The 19491-nt window shown below is 36.8% G+C and overlaps 1 protein-coding gene across 14 annotated transcripts in view, besides 1 other annotated feature; it reads right to left on the reverse strand.

Moving 5' to 3' along the window:
* LINGO2 (leucine rich repeat and Ig domain containing 2) overlaps positions 1-19491 on the reverse strand; it is a 1275985-nt gene that overhangs the window by 446591 nt on the left and 809903 nt on the right. The window lies entirely within an intron of this gene.
* Positions 5140-5641: an enhancer, noted in NCBI's record as "NANOG hESC enhancer chr9:28389345-28389846 (GRCh37/hg19 assembly coordinates)". NCBI's record gives its function as "activates a minimal SCP1, AML or CMV promoter by ChIP-STARR-seq in primed H9 embryonic stem cells {active_cell/tissue: H9 hESC(primed)}" and the evidence as "EXISTENCE:reporter gene assay evidence [ECO:0000049][PMID:30033119]".

Below are 19491 nucleotides of genomic sequence, written 5' to 3' on the forward strand. Positions count from 1 at the left end.
TAGGAAGTTGACCCTATGCTCCTCTATAACTCCAAACACATAATCCCCCTCAATCCATCACCTCAGGCAACCAATACTCTGAATTCCACATTTATCACTCCCTTCTTTTCCATGTTATGCACTATATATATATATATATATATGCCTGTGTATGTGTGATTTTTTAACTTAAAAAAGGTAATAATGTTGTATGTAATCATTTGGACATTTTTTCAGTTAACATTTTATTGTAGTTATTGATACGTTTTGATATACTTCATTTTAGTTTATTATTTCAATTTTGTCTCATTTTCTATACCTTTCAGTAATAATTGTCTACCCTTTTTCCCACTATTTTTAAAACAAACACTTCAGCACACATCACATTCATTGAATTTCACTCCTCAAATACGTCTGTCATGTTGGCATTATCATTCTAGACTTTTAATTCTGTGTTAGTGCTTTCTCTTTTCTTTGCTCTTAGCAATATTTATAACAGTTTATAACAAGGAATAAAATTACTTTAAAAATATGTTTCTTGCAACATCCCCTAAGATTTTAAACAATTTTCTCATCTAGATACTTGATCCAAACTGCTCCCTGTATGGGTCTTTTCAAAGTTTCAGAGGCTTTGTGTGATAAAAAAAAAAAATGTCTTCACATTTCAACAACAGTTAGCCAGATATCACACTCTAGATCCTAAGTTATTTTAATACTTTACAAATAGCACTCCACTGTTTTCTTGTATCCAATGTTGCCCTCAAAAAATCTAAGGTTAATTTGATTCTTGTTTCTTGGGTGTGATCTATTTACTCCTATTCATTCTCCTTTCATTCAATTAATATTTACTAAATGTCTACTATTTGTGATGTACTAAGCTAGACACTGGGGTACAGGAGGGCACAAGAAAGGTGTAGCTCTAAGTTCTTGGACGCTGACCTCTAGTGAGATGCATTGAAGACTTCTAAGAATATGTTTTTATGGCCAATCTTAAAAGAAGCATTACCTTCCTTTCATTCTTTTAAAGATTCAGTGTTTATAATCTCTATTCCTGTAGCATTTAACCTTACCTAAGTTGCTACTTCCAGCTCTGCTCCTTCTGTAATATAATTAACCTCACCTGAAGTGATTTAAAATTCACTGGGCTTACCTAGACTAGATTCCATTTTCTCACAGCTGTTGAAAAGCAAATTCACATACAGGTTGATTTTATATAAGGAGAACTCACAATCAGGTGTGTCAGTGGGGAGGGATTGCTGTATTCAACTTCATGACTCTGCTCTGAATTAAGAAATATAGAAAAGGCACGGATACTGTTATGCTTCATAATCCTATTTTCTTCTTTCTGGGCAAATAAAATTAGGCTTTGTGGCTGGAAAGAAGGTATATGCAGCTTAGGGAAAATTATGAAGCAGAAGGAAATGGAGCGAACAAAAGATAAATATTCAAAACATAAACTTGCCCTGGAAGTCTCAAATGTACTAAATACTCTATGAATTGTGTTTCTTTCCATAAAAACCAGGAAATGATAATGGAAAAATATATGTGCATGTCCTTCATTAGCATACCTTTCCAGATAACTACATCTAGGCTTAGGCACAGATTCAGAGAAGGCAAAAGAAAATGGACCCAGAGAGAAAGGAGGGATGGCATTTTGGATTTATTAGGGAAGCTGGTATATCCTTGGAAACTGTGTGGAATTTATTTTTAATGAAATAACACAATTCAATATATATCTTCTTACAGACCATCATTAATAAAATACTACAGTTCTGGGCCTTCTGGGAACTCAGACATGATAGCAGCAGATAATTGCCTTTGAGAGGAATATCAACAAGCATGAAATCTTCTTTCCAACTAAGTTAGACTTTAATATTGGAAGCCTTGCACATAACACAACATCGATGACTTATATCCCTCTGCCTGCCTGAGGATCACCTGTTCCAAAGATTTCAGAAGGTGTAGTGTATCTCTGTTTTAAAGGGAAAGGATACACAATGTTCTTAAAGAGATCAAGAACTACCCCTTTATCCTGTGAATCTGGACATGTCCTTTGACACTGATGTGCACATGAGAGAGGCAAACTTTCTAGCTGGGCAAGTTTTCTAGTTCTTTCATTTGCAACTAAGACACTAAATACTAAAAGAGAGACCCCTGTCTTTGTGTGGGGGCGGGTGTGTTTACTCAATTTCCCTCTGATTCATATTTCCCTAAACTGTACATATCCTGTTCCTACTCAACCAGTAGAAAAAACATTTTAAATAATGATGAAGAAAGATTAGAGAATATATAATTCAATGAATGAGTCTAAAGATGAAGGGAATGTTCATTATTCTGTATCATGCCAATGAGAGATGACAGAGTATATAACTCTTAAAAAAACCACAATATCTTCAATAAATACAAACTTTAATAGTCTTTTAAAACAATCATAGTTGCTTACCTCAATTAACAGAGCAGTACTTGGTGTGGTATATGAGAATTTCTGTCACACCTTCTCCAATATGGCACTTCTAATTTTAAAAATAAACTATTCTAGATAGGTTGTTTATAAAGTAGGTAGAGATTTCTTAGAATAAGTTATGAAGATGAATATGTTAAAAATATTTGACAAAATAATTAGATTTTAACAAAAAAGGAAACATGAAACAGTTATATTTTATATGGGAATAAGAAGAATATCAAGCAGTATTGTGTCTACATTATTTCTAATTTTTTAAAATTAAGTATTGAAGATATAGTAAGAATGTTTGTAAACACTGTTAGCGATAAATAATTACAATGCAATGAACACTGTGTACCTAATATAGGTACCCAATTTAACTAATATAGCATTGAGAGGTGAAGCCAGCTGGACTTCCTGGGTTGAGTGGGGACTTGGAGAACTTTTCTGTCTAGCTAAAGGTTTGTAAACACACCAATCAGCACTCTGTAAAAATGCACCAATCAGCACTCTGTGTCTAGCTAAAGGTTTGTAAACACACCAATCAGCACCCTGTAAAAACACACCAATCAGCACTCTGTGTCTTGCTAAAGGTTTGTAAACCCACCAATCAGCACTCTGTAAAAATGCACCAATTGGCACTCTGTGTCTAAAGGTTTTAAATGCACCAATCAGCACTATAAAAACGCACCAATTGGCGCTCTGTGTCTAGCTAAAGATTTGTAAACGCACCAATCAGCACTCTGTAAAAATGGACCAATCAGTGCTCTATAAAATGGACCAATCAGCAGGAAGTGGGAAGGGCCAAATAAGTGAATAAAAGCTGGCCACTGGAGCCAGCAGCAGCAACCTCCTGGGGGCCCCTTCCACGTTGTAGAAGCCTTTTTCTTTTGCTGTTTGCAATAAATCTTGGTGCTGCTCACTCTTTGGGTCCACACAGTCTTTATGAGCTGTAACACTCACTACGAAGGTCTGCATCTTCATTCCTGAAGTCTGCCAGACCACGAACCCATCAGGAGGAATGAACAACTGTGGACGCGCCACCTTTAAGAGCTGTAACACTCACTGCGAAGGTTTGCAGCTTCACTCCTGAAGTCAGCAAGACTACAAACCCACTGGGATGAACGAACAACTCTGGACGTACCACCTTTATGAACTGTAACACTCACTGCGAAGGTCTGCAGCTTCACTCCTGAAGTCAGCGAGACCACGAACCCACCAGAAGGAAGAAACTCCAGACACGTCTGAACATCAGAAGGAACAAACTCCGGACACACCATCTTTAAGAACTGTAACACTCACGGCGAGGGTCTGCAGCTTCATTCTTGAAGTCAGCAAGACCAAGAACCCACCAATTCTGGACACAGCATGCCGATCACTTTTAAGGCCCTCATGGATCCATTACTGAGATCAGCCATTACTCCTACCCACCAAAGGTATAAAATAAACATAGTGCTTTATCATTCCCTCACTGTTCTTCATAGTTTTACTACATTGGTTAATAACCTCTAACATCCTACTTTGCATGTTTTTAAAGTTTGTGTAACTAGACTTGCTTTTTTCTCTCAGTGTCATGTCTCTATGATAGAATCGCTCTTTTATGCATCTGTTGTTTGTTAATTCTCATTAATGTATAGAGTATCCCATTATGTGAAAATACCCCATTATCCCCCTCTATTCAACTGTTCATGGACATTTGGGCTTTTTCCACTATTTTGCTATTGTAAACATTGCTGCTGTTAACGTTCACCCCTGTGTCTCCTGATTCAGATATCCTGGGACACATAAGTGTCCCTTAGGTTTATAGCTAAGAATAGAATTGCTAAGTCATAGGGCATGCATATGTTCAATTTTACTGTAATATGGCAATTTGTTTCCCAAATACGTTTATTTGAAACATGGACTTTTCCAATTTTATTTGTTCCACATCTTTGCCAAAACTTCATATTACATGACTTTTAATTTTTGCCAATCCTGTATCTCACCCTTCATTTTAATATGTATGTCCCTCGTTATTAATGAGGTTCACAAGATATGATTTCTCATCTGTGGTATGCCTATTTATGGTATTTCCTTGTGTATTTTGTGGTTTTTGACTCTAAGTTGATATTCCTTGAAGCTTTATCTGAAGGAATTCTTTGATGCCTGAGTCAAATGTGAACTAAATCAGATATAATTTGCATTTTCTCCTGCCACATATTTAGAAGCTTTACCAAACTTCACCAACTGTAAATATTTGACTTGAGGGTTTTCTCTCTTTCTCTCTTTCTCTCTCTCTCTCTCTTTCTTTGGATTTCCCAAGTAGAATGAATTCAGGATGCAAACCATAAATGAGAACCTACTTGTGGTTACTAAAATTCCTGGTTTTTGTTTTTCTTCACTCATTGTCAAGGCTCAAGGAAGACAATTATTTTTGCTATAACCTGGTATAGACAGGTTATTTGTAATTTACCTTAAAATGTAGCTACAGCCCTTTATGTCTTTAGAATCTTGGGCATGTCTCCTTAGATGCTCACATTAAACCAGCTTTAGGAGATTGTTATCTAAAGTAATTATGTTACTCTAATAATAAAAATATTGAATGGCAAAACATATGAACTATTCTTTTAGCTTATATTTATAAAATTATATATTTTATATGCCACTTATCAATGTATCTAGGAAGAGCTATGTTATAAAGACAAGATAATGTCAGAGAAAGATAATGTTTGTCTTCAAATATTATTACTTTACAATTTCAGAGATTTCTAACCACAGATTGGAAGCTACATATCAGAGTTTTAAAGTTTTATATCATAAACATTCTTCAACTCTCCTGACCTGGCTGGGTTAGATCCCCACCTTCAACAATGGTTTAAGAATTATGTCTTCCATAAATGTTGACAACCATGCACAGAGGCATCATTCCCACCTACCCAAGATCTCTAGACGTCAGCATTCCTAAATTCCTGCCTCATCTCTTAGAGGATTCACAGTCAGCCCCACTTAGTGTTGCATCACCCTGCAGGGAGCCTCATCATCTTCCTAGAAAACCAGCCAACCTAGCATCTCAACTTCCCACACGAAACAAACAAACGAAAACCTCACCTTTCATAAATGCATCCAGAACTTTGCAATCATAAAATCTAGAAACTATTTTGCATTCAACAGACATCTAGAGTTGTATTATGTAGTTGAATAATATTTTTACTTTGAATTACCTATGGAGGACACAATAAATTTCTGATTTGAGGGGACATAAAGTCTTAATGTAGTCTGATATGTTTCTAATATGAGGAGAAATAAAGTCTTAATCTGGCCCTGGTTTCATGTTCCAACATTCCATGCTTCCTTTTCTTGATGTCTGGATTTGGACTACTCCTAAATTGCCCTTAAAGAGCCATTACACCAATAATAGTTACTTATTTTTTTTTAGTGTCTACTATCTGCCAGACAACATGTATGTGTTTTACATACATTTTCTGTAATTCTTACAATGCTTCATGATGGCTCAATATTGCCCAACTAGTAAATGCCTGAGCTGTATCCTACCTCAGCTCATTGCTTCCACGGTTTCTGCCTTCTGCTGTACGATGCTACCACACATTGTGAGAAAATAGCCTTCCCATTGTTCGCATCCAGCAGATGACTACAAAATTAAACTATTTCTTTCAGCACAAACATGTTTAGAGTTGTTTGGCAAATAATAAAGGAAGAACCTTTTACTCTGAAATCTTAATTCACATCTATGCATAATGGATGTTAACTCCGAAGCCATGTATTATTTAATAATTATCTAGTTATATCACTTTGTGTATCAATTTATCAAGTCTGGAATAAAGAAATGGCATGACAAATACTTTCAGCTTTTGTGTTTATGAACATCTTCCATTGTTCTCCTGCTATTAAAATGCTGACATATACACACAGAGCAGAAATAGGTTTTCTTTGAATGATACATAAATGAAAAAAAAAAAAGAGAAAACTTCAGAATGGAGTTTACGATCACAGCCCTTGTAGCCCTTGACAGATACTTAAGTCTGCCATCTCCTAAACCTTCCTGTGCTCCTGCTTCCTCCCTGCAAAATGGGGATAATACACATCTGACTTCTCCTAGGTAAAAGCTATTCAATGTAGACATAAATTCAAAGCAATTTGGTTTCTTCAGAGCTAAGAATTTTATAAACAAAAGACATTATCGTGATGCTCTTCTTATTATTCAGGAATGCAGCCACAGTATGGGGGAAAATCCAGCATTTCACGTCATTGAAAAAGCGTCTATCTCTTTTATTCTTCTATCTTAGTAGCATTAGTGAAAAAAAAAGTCTGATATACTTGACAAGTCAGAACTATTGATACAGATGTAAAAGTTATCTGTTTGCATGTACTGATCCAATAATACACGACTCCCAGACATGTAAAACCATTAAAACTTAGATGTGGGTAATTCAGAATCATTTGAATTCATCTTTAATTTGTTTGCTTATTGACCTATTAGCTTAAATCTAGTTTTATTTTTAATTAACTTTATTACTATATAATGTATTATAATTTACAAAGTTTTACTGTAAAATTCAATGAAATGAGAAATTTATAAATCCAAATAATCAGCACCACACTGATTAAGATACGGAATATTTTCATCATCAGAGAGTTTCCTTGTGGCCCTTTACATAGGCCCAGTTTTAACTTATTAGAAATTAGAGCTTATATCTAAGGAAGTGGTATTATCAGCCCCATCCTGAGATTATCTAAGGGCTTAGTTATAAATCACCTTATTACTTATAAACTCAGGTGTGCTCTTACGGGTTCATCAGATTCAAAACTTCAGTGCCTGGATTCCTGTCAAGGGGATGTGAATCGGGAAATCATCTGTTTTTCTGTTATGATTTATCATTTCCTTACCAAGGCCTTCCCTGTCTAACGGCCTTATTATTCTGTCTTGTCCTTGATTTTCCCCTTTTTCCTTCTTTTCACAATTTGTATTTATGTTTGCGTGTGTGTGTGTGTGTGTGTGTGTGTGTGATTTAATCACCTCATCCACAGGACTGGAGACCTTTCAGAAATAGGAATCATGTTTTCTTTATTGCTGATATGCCCTTAATTAAAGCCTGACCCCTCCTTATCACATGGAAATTCTTTATAATTATTTTTGAATATACCAATAAATACCTAATTTATTTATACAACATTATTAAATACCTACTCTAGGCACGTGGGCTACATTGTACAAAAATCTAATAGGGAAAAATAATTCTTAGTAAGAAAACCCTATTTTATGCTGAATCCATAATTATGTCCCTATAAAACAACACCTTGGCCAAGTGTGGTGGCTCACGCCTGTAATCTCAGCACTTTGGGAGGCCAAGGCGGATCACAGTCTCAAGAGATTGAGACCATGCTGGCCAACATGGTGAAACCCCGTCTCTACTAAAAATAGAAAAATTAGCGGGGCGTGATGGCACGTGCCTGTAGTCCCGGTTACTCGGGAGGCTGAGGCAGGAGAATCTCTTGAACCCAGGAGGTAGAGCTTGCAGTGAGCCGAGATTGTGCCACAGCGTTCCAGCCTGGTGACAGAGCGAGGCTCCATCTCAAAAATAAACAAACAAAAATAAACACCTTGACTATTGCCATCTTTAGTCAGTGAAGATATTTTGCCTATTAATTAGGATCTAATTGACAATATGCATGAGGGAAGGAAGGCTACTTGAGAAAAAGTATAAAAGCAACACCTTTACCCTGGCTTTGGAGTCGGGCATGCCTAGATCCTGTCTGTGCTATTCACTAGCTGTTTGCTCACATAAAAGTCATGTAACTTCCCTGAGCTGTGATTTACACATTAGTGAGTAGAAATCATAGTTCCACCTCATATGGGTGATGTTAAAGTTGAATGGAAGAGACGCATAAGGCAAGGTATGGGAGAGCAGCAGGTGCACGGACCTTCCATGCTCTCTTCAGTTAAACCGCATTCCCAACACCTGGAGGTGTTCATCAACTCTCTTCTCTCCAGGCTCCAGTTCCCCCTACCCTTCCGGAGGTCAGTGGGTGGGGCTAAAAGTTCCAGCCCTCTAATCACTTGGTGTTTCTGGTGACCAGTCCCATGTTGAGATTATCTAAGGGCCCAGCTATAAATCACCTTATTACAATAAACTCAGGTGTACTCTTAAGGGGGCTTGTTATGAATAACAAAAGACACCTGATCACTCAGGCAACTCCAAGGGTTTTAGAAGCTCTAGGCCAGAAGCTGCAGACAAAGATCAAAAATATTTCTTATGGCAGTAGTTTAATAGATTGTTTTTTCAAATTTAGATGTAGGAAATGTAACACTATCCCCAAGGGTAAGGCTATGAATGGTGCTGAGGGAGAATATGTCCCTAGGAACTTCTTAATACTTAGAACAACCTTGTCAGAAAGTCATTTGACTAATGAATCCCTCAGAAAAAGTCTCTTAGAGTGATGAAAACGTTGTGTGAAATCACACAGCCAGCAAATAGCTGAGCTAATATTTGAAATCAAGGAAATCTACTTCAATGTTTACTTTCTTTTAATAGGTAATTCTTATATCTGTCCTGTACCTACTATGTGGGATGTATTCTATGCCCTGGGGGCAGGAACAGCAGTGAAAAAACACAAACACTGCCCTCATGGAGATCCAGTTCTAGAATATAGGATAAAAGGACATATATTTAGTAAGCACACTTTGTATTATCTCATTAAGTCCTTACAGTACTCTCAGAGTTCAGCAGAGAAAATTACATTATTCCCATTTCATATGCAAGGAAAATGAGGCTGAAAGAGAGTTATTAAGCTGGTAAACCAGACTGAACAGGCAGTACTTAAGCCTGCATTTTCTGGTTCAAGATCTGGTGTTTTGCTGGTTGCCAAATCAATGAAAACTTCAAATTTTATCCTTCAGGTAGGAGAGGTGGTGGTCATATTAACAACAATATACTGAACCACAAGGCAAGACTAAACATTTATCCTTAAGATGGAGACGAGGGATGGGTAACAAGAGGTAGATAAATAGCGATGGAGTGGAATGCAAGGCAAGATCAACTGTCAGAGGTGAACATCAGGCCTTACCAGGAGGAAAACACCAGCCTGACTTCCAACTTCCAGCAACTCCATCTTTCTGCTCGATGTCTTTCTTCAGAGTTTGGTCTGCCCCAGTATAGCAGGGCAGGTCAAAGGTGCCAGGGAATTAACACCCATTCTCCTCTCCCAAGCAACCTTCAGCTAATGACTAATGGAAGTTAGTAGATAAATACCCTTTGCCCCTTAGAGGGGATAACTCTGAGGAAAAAGCTCTTATACTAGCTGCAGGTGTTCCCCAGCAGGATTCAATCTCAGTTACTGAATGGTAAGTTGGTTGATAACTTGTACTAACCTCTTTTTTTTTTCCCTTGTCTCATTCCCCTATCAGTGTTTTTTGGGATTAATTCCCAAATAAATTTCCTGCAATATAATGTTTTCATGAGAGTCTCTGTCTGACGGAACCAAGACTAAGACACCAATGGATTCGCCCAGGTAAGGGTAGCCAGTCAGTGCTCATAGGATTAACAGGTCCATACCAAAGCCATATCAGGTATATCTGAAGATCTCTTTCCAACGCAATGCTTCACTTTGCGTAAAGACTATGAACCACAGTTTGCCAGGCCTTTTTCTGATGGAGGACTTCACTGTCAGTAATCTCTAATTCTGAAGGCAAGAGATATGAAACGTAGTTACTGCTTACAAAGCAAATGGGGATTGTTTTTTCCATCATCCAAACAGAATCAGATGACAGTGAGAAAAGCCTTTTCCTCTTTTTTCCCCACTGCCCTCACTACCAGTGTTCTCTCTCCCTTCCAGCCTCCCTCTTTTCTCTCCTGCCTCCCTCATTTTCTTGCTTTCTTCCTTTATTCCTTCAGTAAAGATAATCTTACCTAAATTATAGCCTTTTTGAAAGAAGACATTCCTTTAGATAAAAAGGTAGGCAGATACAAGATAGGTGATTAACCTTTCCTCCCTTGATGTCTTTTGTTTTCTAAATCCATCAGAAGATGTATGGGGGTAGGTAGAGGTAACAGGTAAGAAATAAATTATTAGTACTGAGCTAGCTGTACTTAGAACTCCTTGTTATTACCCAGTACTATACATATAGATTCTTATTAAGAAAGAAAATCCTCTGTGAAGGAAATAATCCATTTCATTTTCCAATTGAACACAGTGTAGCTAACAGAAATAACAGAATTAACTATAGAATTCCCAGCCCCAAACTGTTGTCATTTTCTTCTTTAGTAAAATGAACACAAGTGCAGAGTGTATTAATTTCATTACAAGGTAGAAAAGATAAACTTGCCCCATCTTTTTGCATTTAACTCCCATTTGGCATGAGGCCATTGCTCTCACATTCATTAGATTACCAGAGTTCAAACAATCATCTGTCTTGGCACTTGAGAAAAAAACTTAGACATTCTTGTTTTATTAAAACATGGAATCATTGGCATAGGAAACAAAATTAACAGGTACTTGATAAGGGTCCCAGCCCACCATCAAAACTGATAACTGTCCTTATTTGAAATAAACAGAAGAAAGCCCTTCATACTAGTCCTTGAAGTAAGCTCTATGATCATAAAATAGAATAAAATAGGTAAACTATGTAGTTATAAGAAACGAAGGAGATAACTCAAGTCGAAAAAAAATGTATTAGTGAATAGCTTCATCAATTAAATTCAGTGCAAGGCGTGCTGGAAAATGTCACTTTATTGTGATTTTACCCAATCACTGGCATGCTCTCTTTCAATGCTCACATATTAGAAGTTTAGAAGAGTATGTATTCGTTGCCAAGAAGATGGATATTGTTGCATAAAGTATATTTCAAAACCATTTCAACTATGATATTGAAGCAAATATATGACAGTAAATCCTAAAATAACAGAAGTGAAAAAAAAAATCATGTCCTTGCTGCTTAAAGTGGAAAGCCTGGTCTCCAGGGCATATACCCATATGGCAAGTTAACCAACAAAGCCCACACAAGTCCTGTAATGTCAATTTCATTGGGTGGTAAATAATTTAAAATACCATTTATATACTTAAACAGACATAGTATAAAGTTGAATGAAATGTTTTCATCACTTCTTGAAATAAAACCATAGCATTCTGATAAGTTTTTATAATTACAGTTGGTTCTTTCTAGCCATAGCTCAGACCTCAGCAGGGCAAATTCACACTCCTCTGTCATGGATACTTTTTTGGAACAGGACTTATTAAGCTTAGTTATTAGTGGTATAAACATTTCAGCAACCTTTTTCTGTGTTATAAATTAATATTAGATCTTAAGTTTGGCCCTTTGGTCTTCAATATAGATTCCTATCCATTTGTCTTGGTTAAAAAAATGTTAAAAATAGGAGTATCCATTGGGCAGAAGGAAACTAGGGACGCTACCATAATTCACAGTGAGCTCTGGGTAACAGAAAACTCAGGGTTCCATACAACTAGTTATGGGGCACTTCATTTCTGAGACTCCATTTCCTCCCACGAAATGTAGAAGATTGATGATTTATTTAACAGACACTTATATAGAAATTACCAGGTGCCAGGTGCTGTTATAAGCACTTTTTTATGTATTGACTCACTTATTCTTTATGACAAAGCTGCGAGTTACAAGTGCTATGAATCATATGCAAAGTAAATCCAAGTAAGGAAACAGAGATATATGGGACTATTTTAGAGAGTCTAGTCAGAATATTTTATTATTTTATTTACTATTTTATGTGTGATACTTGGAGTTGACAATTTTGAATAGGAAGTAATATTTAAGAAGTCCTGATTAGGCCGGGCGCAGTGGCTCATGCCTGTAATCCCAGCACTTTGGGAGGCCGAGGCAGGCGGATCACAGGGTCAGGAGATCAAGACCATCCAGGCTAACGTGGTGAAACCCCGTCTCTACTAAAAATACAAAAAATTAGCCGGGCATGGTGGCGGGCACTTGTAGTGCCAGCTACTTGGGAGGCTGAGGCAGGAGAATGGCGTGAACCCGGGAGGCGGAGCTTGCAGTGAGCCGAGATCACGCCACTGCACTCCAGCCTGGGTGACAGAGCGAGACTCCATCTCAAAAAAAAAAAAAAAAAGTCCTGACCAAATCAAAGGGTCATCCATGCAGTTATCTGGGAGAACAATATTTCAGGCAGACAGATCAACAAGTGCTCTGAGAGAGAAACTACCTTGAGGTTTTGAGAACTAGCAAGTTGGCCAGCTTCCTAGAGAGAACCTAGTAAAAAGTTGAGGAGTGGGAGGTAAAATCAGAGAGGTTAAGAGTTCAGATTTACTCTATGTCTGATAGAAAACCACAATGATTCACTATCCTTCAAGATGATTTTGCAAGTATTTTCCTAATCTAGCCTACACTCCTTTACTAATCATAATAAATTTATATGTAAAAAGATGATGCCCTGGGCTCATTATCTTTGCCTATCCATTCTTCTCAGGAATGTTTGTCAAGTAACTCATGAGTACTTCCTTCCTAATAATCCTGGACTTAATTTTCTAAGAAGAGTTCTATCACTTGGCATGTAATGAGTCTTGATAATATGTATAACTCCTACTAACTCCTATGAAAGAGGCAGTAAAAGTAGAATAGGATCCATATCCTTCAATATCTTCTTGGGAGGATAAGATATATAAAAATAAAAACTATTTTTCACATTTATTTATTTTTAAATTGACATAAAATTGTATGTATTGTGTATGACATGATGTTTTGAAGTATATATATATATATATACATATATATATATACACACATTATGGTATGGATAAATCTAGCTAATTAACACATGTATTACCTCACATTGTTATCATTTTTATGGTGAGAATATTTAACAGCCACATTTTGGATTTTACAAGAAGACATTTTATTGTTAACTATCAATACCATGCTGTACAATAGATGTCTTTTTTTTTTTTTTTTTTTTTTGAGACGGAGTCTCAGTCTGTCGCCCAGGGTGGAGTGCAGTGGTGCGATCTCAGCTCACTGCAAGCTCCACCTCCCGGGTTCACACCATTCTCCTGCCTCAGCCTCCCGAGTAGCTGGGACTACAGGTGCCCGCCACCACGCCCAGCTAATTTTTTGTATTTTTAGTAGAGACGGGGTTTCACTGTGTTAGGCAGGATGGTCTTGATCTCCTGACCTCGTGATCCACTTGCCTCAGCCTCCCAACGTGCTGGGATTACAGGCGTGAGCCACCATACCCGGCCAATAGATGTCTTAAATTCATTCCTCCCATCTAACTGCAAATATGTATTATTTGGCCAACATCTCCCCAAATTCTGTGATCTTTGTACCTCTCTTTATTGTGCTATTACACATGTACTCCAATAGGCTTTAATAAATGTCATTTACGTTCAGTAGCAAAAGTCATACATTGAGAATAAAAGAAAATTATTGTTGGAGTTAAATTTGCATGTTAAAGAAATGCCATTATAAGTGCCAGGTTGGGAACTGAGACAGAAAAGATCAGTCAGTGTTATGATTACCCTGGCTGATCAGGAACTGGACAGAAATTATCTGCATAACCCATGTTATGTGGAGGTCAGACTATTTAATCTAAGGTGGATTACAGCATCAATGATATATACGGGGACTCTGTTACCTGACACTGTACCTGAATTTAGAAGGCGTTGAATGAAAAGTTTGGTTTTATCAGTTGCAAAGAGTTAGTGGTAATTTAATATACAAATATATTCATTTTACTTTCTAGCACAAGTTTAGCAGAAATCCTTTTTATAATCTGGTTATGAGTAAACATTTCTATAGTGATTTCCTTTCTTTGGTTCTCATTTCCATAAATCTTACTTACATAACTTGATTTGGTATAAAAACCAGCTTAGATACAGTTTGGCAAAAATGTAAAATAAGATAATTTGTTAACAGGGATTAAAATCCATTCAGAAAAGAATTAAGCAATATAGGTAAAGAGAAAAGAGAGGTTTTTGAATATGCAGTTGGGGCCAACAGTCTGTTATAAAATCTCACAGCATGCTGAGAAGTAGAAACCTATACTAGATGAATAGAAACTGTATGTTAGAGCAGGTAAGAAGGTGAGTAAAAACGAGACTGAGAGAGAGAAGGCCAAAAAAGAGGCTCTATAACTTATATAATTTTTTGCTTTAACAACCTGCATATTTCTTTATATTTTTATTGATTCAGGAAATGTAATTTTTGAAGGATGGCATGCAAATGGTGTCTAGGAGATTGGCTAAGTATCTCAAGGCCTTTCACTTAACCCCTTTTCGTCTTACATTCAAATTACCTGAGTGATAAAATTCAAGGAGACTCTCATTCCATCTCAGTTCAATCACAGTCAAAAACTCCATGTAGCAAAAAGATATATTTCTGTCTTTGTAGGACAAAGGGGATAATATTATTCAAAGGCATTTGCCCAAGCTTTGGGGAGTTTGGCAGCATCTTCTCACCTCCTCCATCATCAGTAGGATTTAGCACATCCAAATATCCTACCAGAAGAGAAAATCTGCCAAAGAATTTTTCCCAATACTAAACCCCCAACAAGAATTAAATATGCATTCTTCTGCAAATATGAGGGGCTTGAGAAAATGGACACATAGACTAGCAAACCTTTCTTCTGGGGACTTAAGCAACATAAAGCAAAAACCTTAAAAGTCTGTGTAGCCTTTGACCTGAGTCAAATTCTAGGAATTTATCCTAGGGAAATAGTAATGAATATGTGCACAAATATTTTTGTCATAACATTCGTTATGAAAGTGAAACTAAAAAGTATATAAATATTGGAAGTGTTAGACTGATTACATAAATTATGACCCTTGTAATAATTTGTAGATTTACATGTAAATATTAGGCAAATAAAAATAATTACATAACTGTTAAAAATGATGAGAAATAGAAACATAGGGAAAACATGGTTACAATAATTCATTAAAGAAGAAATACAAATAAACAGAAAACATAAATAAAATGTTCATCCTCAGAGTAATCCAAGAAATGCAAATTTAAACAACGAAGTGACCATTTTCCACCCACTGTGAAATACTATGGGGTTAATACTTCCTGTGATGATCAGGGAAGGATTCTGGTTGGAACTGGCTTAGAGTATTAGAAAGAGTTCCTAAGAAGGCAGAGTTCTGAATTACATTAGGCATTATGTTAAATTATGGGATTTGATTTACAGATGTTTAATGTTCATTCTATTTTCAGTTCTAAGATTCTACATCCGACATATTTGCAGTGGGCAGATTTTTAAAAGTAATACCTATTTTGAACATATTGAAGGCATCTGTTGAAGAATCAATATAAATAATTACTTAACTAATACCATACTTGAAGTAGTGCTTAGTTTATAAAATTAAAACGAATGGTCTATGGTGTCCAAAAAGCAGTCAGTTTAATTTTGCAGCATTATTTTGTTGGAAGCAAATAACAGTGGCAGGTCCACCTACATGGACACAATGGAGCTGACCACGGAATGCAATGGGGGTGTCTGAAGCAGACAGAGTGACTCTATTGTGACCCTTTGGCACCGGAAAGACCAGCCCAAGATACAATTATACCTTTGCACTATAGCCTATTTTGTGAAGAGAATTAATTTATGGGGATTCAGAAGAACTTGGATCCAAGTGCTAGCTCTGTCTCTTATGATCTGTGGGAGCTCAAAGAACGTATGAATTTTCCTAAGTTCCAGTTCCATTAGTGTGCAGGAATTGGCTCATACTGGCCTGTGAGAGTCAATTATGAACACCTCTTTCCAGGTCCATATTCAATGATGTTATATGAATAGCTTAAAATTAGGCATGGTAGGTGAATTTACATCACGGAAACCAGCAAACACTAATAACCAGGGCTGCCTCTACCCAAAAGACCTAGTTGTAAAACATTTACCAGTATATCACTGGTTTAAACAACTGGTTTGTTGGAGAGTTAAGAATAACATGACTAAGGGATGTAAAAGTGCCTTGTAAAACAACATGCATTGTAAGGTATCGTTAATAATATTCTATGCATAGTGTTTTGATAGCTCAAACCTTGAACAAATAATTATCAAAGGTACCCATGAACAAAGAAGAGTTGAGACAAAAGGGTAATTAATGATGGTTGATAGTGGCTTTCTCAAACTTAAAGCTTAATGCAGGTGCAGGAAAACATTAACAAAAGATGAAATTTAAGAGAACAACACGAGTAAGGTAAAGGGAGCATGTAAGAAGTTCTGAAAAATAAATTAATTCAACATATGAGGGTGTTTGAATGTTACACAGAACTGCAAATAATTGGAAAGATATATTTTAATTTTTTATGTTCTGCAAAAGTCTGAACAGATCTTTTGAAATCATTTTTTCTGTTTTTTATTTCTTTCATGGACATTGAATCAAGGTGACTGCTCCTAAACACCAATAACATTAACATACGGAAATGTGTTTGCATTATTAATAATCATATGTACAATGTTTATATATGAAAAACAAAATATAATGTTATATTTTATGAATAAGTGAAAGACATGTAGTGACAAAACAAGGGTACAATTAAGATTTTAAATGTTCTTTTTTTTCCTTTATTTCTTAAAAACCGAGATAAATGTGCAGACTGTACAGATTTGTTACATAGGTATATTTGTACCATGCTGGTTTGCTGCACCTATTGAGCCATCCTCTAAGCTCCCTCCCCTTACCCCCAACCCCCAACAGGCCCTGGTGTGTCTTGTTCCCCTCCCTGTGTCCATGTGTTCTCAATGTTCAACTCCCACTTATGAGTGAGAACATGTGGTGTTTGGTTTTTGGTTTCTGTGTTAGTTTGCTGAGGATGATGGCTTCCAGCTTCATCCATGTCCCTGCAAAGGACATGATCTCATTCCTTTTTATGGCTGCAGAGTATTCCATGGTATATATGTACCAAATTTTTTTATCCAATCTGTTACTGATGGGCATTTGGGTTGGTTCCATGTCTTTGCTATTGTAAATAGTGCTACAGTAAATATATGTGTGTATGTGTCTTTATAGTAGAATAATTTATAATACTTTGGGTATCTACCCAGTAATGGGATTGCTGGGTCAAATGGTATTTCTGGTTCTAGGTCCTTGAGGAATTGCCATACTGTCTTCCACAATGGTTGAACTAATTTACACTCCCACCAACAGTGTAAACGCATTCCTATTTCTCCACAGCCTCGCCAGCATCTATTATTTCCTGATTTTGCAATAATTGCCATTCTGACTGGCATGAGATGGTATCTCACTGTGGTTTTGATTCGTATTTCTTTGATGATCAGTGATGTTGAGCTTTTTTTCATATATCTGTTGGCCCTATAAATATCTTCTTTTGTGAGGTGTCTGTTCATATCATTTGCCTACCTTTTGATGGGGTTGTGTTTTTTTCTTGTAAATATATTTAAGTGTTCTTTAGATTGAAAAAAAGGATAAGATTTATAAGGAAAGACTAGCTTTTTGGCATTTAAGTGACCAAGGCCTCACTAGGGCAACACAAGCAATTCTAAAACCCCACCCAGGTGGATACAGTTAATGTCATGCAGCCTGGGATCTCCTCCCTTATCTATTTTGTCATTTTATGAGTACTTATAGCCACACAACTAAAGAAAAAACAATAACTTAGGATAGGCATTATGAAACAAAGAACAAATTGTATTTTCTTTTATTTGTATTTCCTCTCTCTTTTCTTTCCCCCCTATTTGTTGAAAAAAGTGTTAGTATGTGAAAAGAGGAATAGTCGCAGTTAAAACTTCATATTATATATAAATCTAATGCAGAGTAGAAGATAAAACATTGAAAAAAGTGAGATTAGAAAATAAGAAATCATCATCAAGGTGTCAAAAAACAGCGAATGACAAGTATAACAAAAATCATCAATGATTTTACAACTTTTTGCCATGAAGAATCTTTCCAGCAGATCCGTACACTGCCTCCTATCTTCTCTGCCCCACTTCTCCTCCCTTCCTTCTTCCCTCTCCCTCCTTCCCTCCCTTCCTTCCTCTCTTCTTTTCCTCTTAGGTATCTGCTCTCCTTCACTCTCTCCTCCAACACATCATCTCTGTTTAGATCAGAATTAACTCTACAAAGGTCCTTTTCTAAGGCACACATCTGACATGACATGCACACAATGAGAGACAACCCTTTCCCCCACTATATCCCAGGCTATCTTTCCCATCACGTTTTTTCTGTCTTCTTTCTCAGTGGACCCCCTGCTTCAGCAACATTTCAACAGGATAGTTCCCAAACACCTTACACTTTTAGCCTTTTCATTGAAAAGAAGGTAGAATGTGCAGTAGAAAAAGCAGGGTTTTGGCAAAATCACATCGGGTCTCTACCACTTAACAGTTGTAGTATGAAAAGCAAGTTACTAGGCTTTTCAATGCCTCAGATTCTTAATGCATAAAATAATGATACCCTATCTAGGGTTTTTGTGAAAAATAAATGAGATAACACATGTGAACTTTCATTAAGATAACTTTGATAATTAGTCAACTGTAGTGATGATAAAGGTGATAATGACTGTGCTGGCTGAATATTTCCCCTCTGCTGCTCCAGATTTGCCTCGTACTTTTCCCACTGGCTCTGTATTCCAAAATGCTGAACTTCATGGACTTAATTAATGGGCTCCTTTCTCTTTGGTGTCTGGTTGGAGTAGTGCAAAGAGAGGTTCCTGTAGGAGATGAATGGAGAGGAATCTTTGGAGTATTTATTCCCGAGGCTCCCTCCCAGCTCCTCTACAGGATGGCAGGGGTTGCATTATTCTGTCAAAGGCTGCAGCTTCTATAAGGTGGCTATTTCTCATGGCTACACCTTCTCTTCAGGTCTGACAGCTAGCTCTTCTGGCTCTTTCTGTTCTAGAAATGGTAATGTATATCATTGGGGTGCCACCTGTCCTGCCAGGATTCTGACAAATGCAGTAATTATGATTGTTGTCTTTGCCCGCAATACCTTTATTTAACCTCTTCTAAACTTATCGAGGCCCTACCCTGTTCTCAAAGAATGACTAAAATGCTATTGTTTTAAATAATTATGACAATGCCACCCCTCTCCTTTTTTTTTTTTTTTCAAAGGATGACCTCAACTTTTCCTGGACG

This window comes from Homo sapiens, chromosome 9, assembly GCF_000001405.40.
Source record: "Homo sapiens chromosome 9, GRCh38.p14 Primary Assembly".
NCBI lineage: Eukaryota > Metazoa > Chordata > Mammalia > Primates > Hominidae > Homo > Homo sapiens.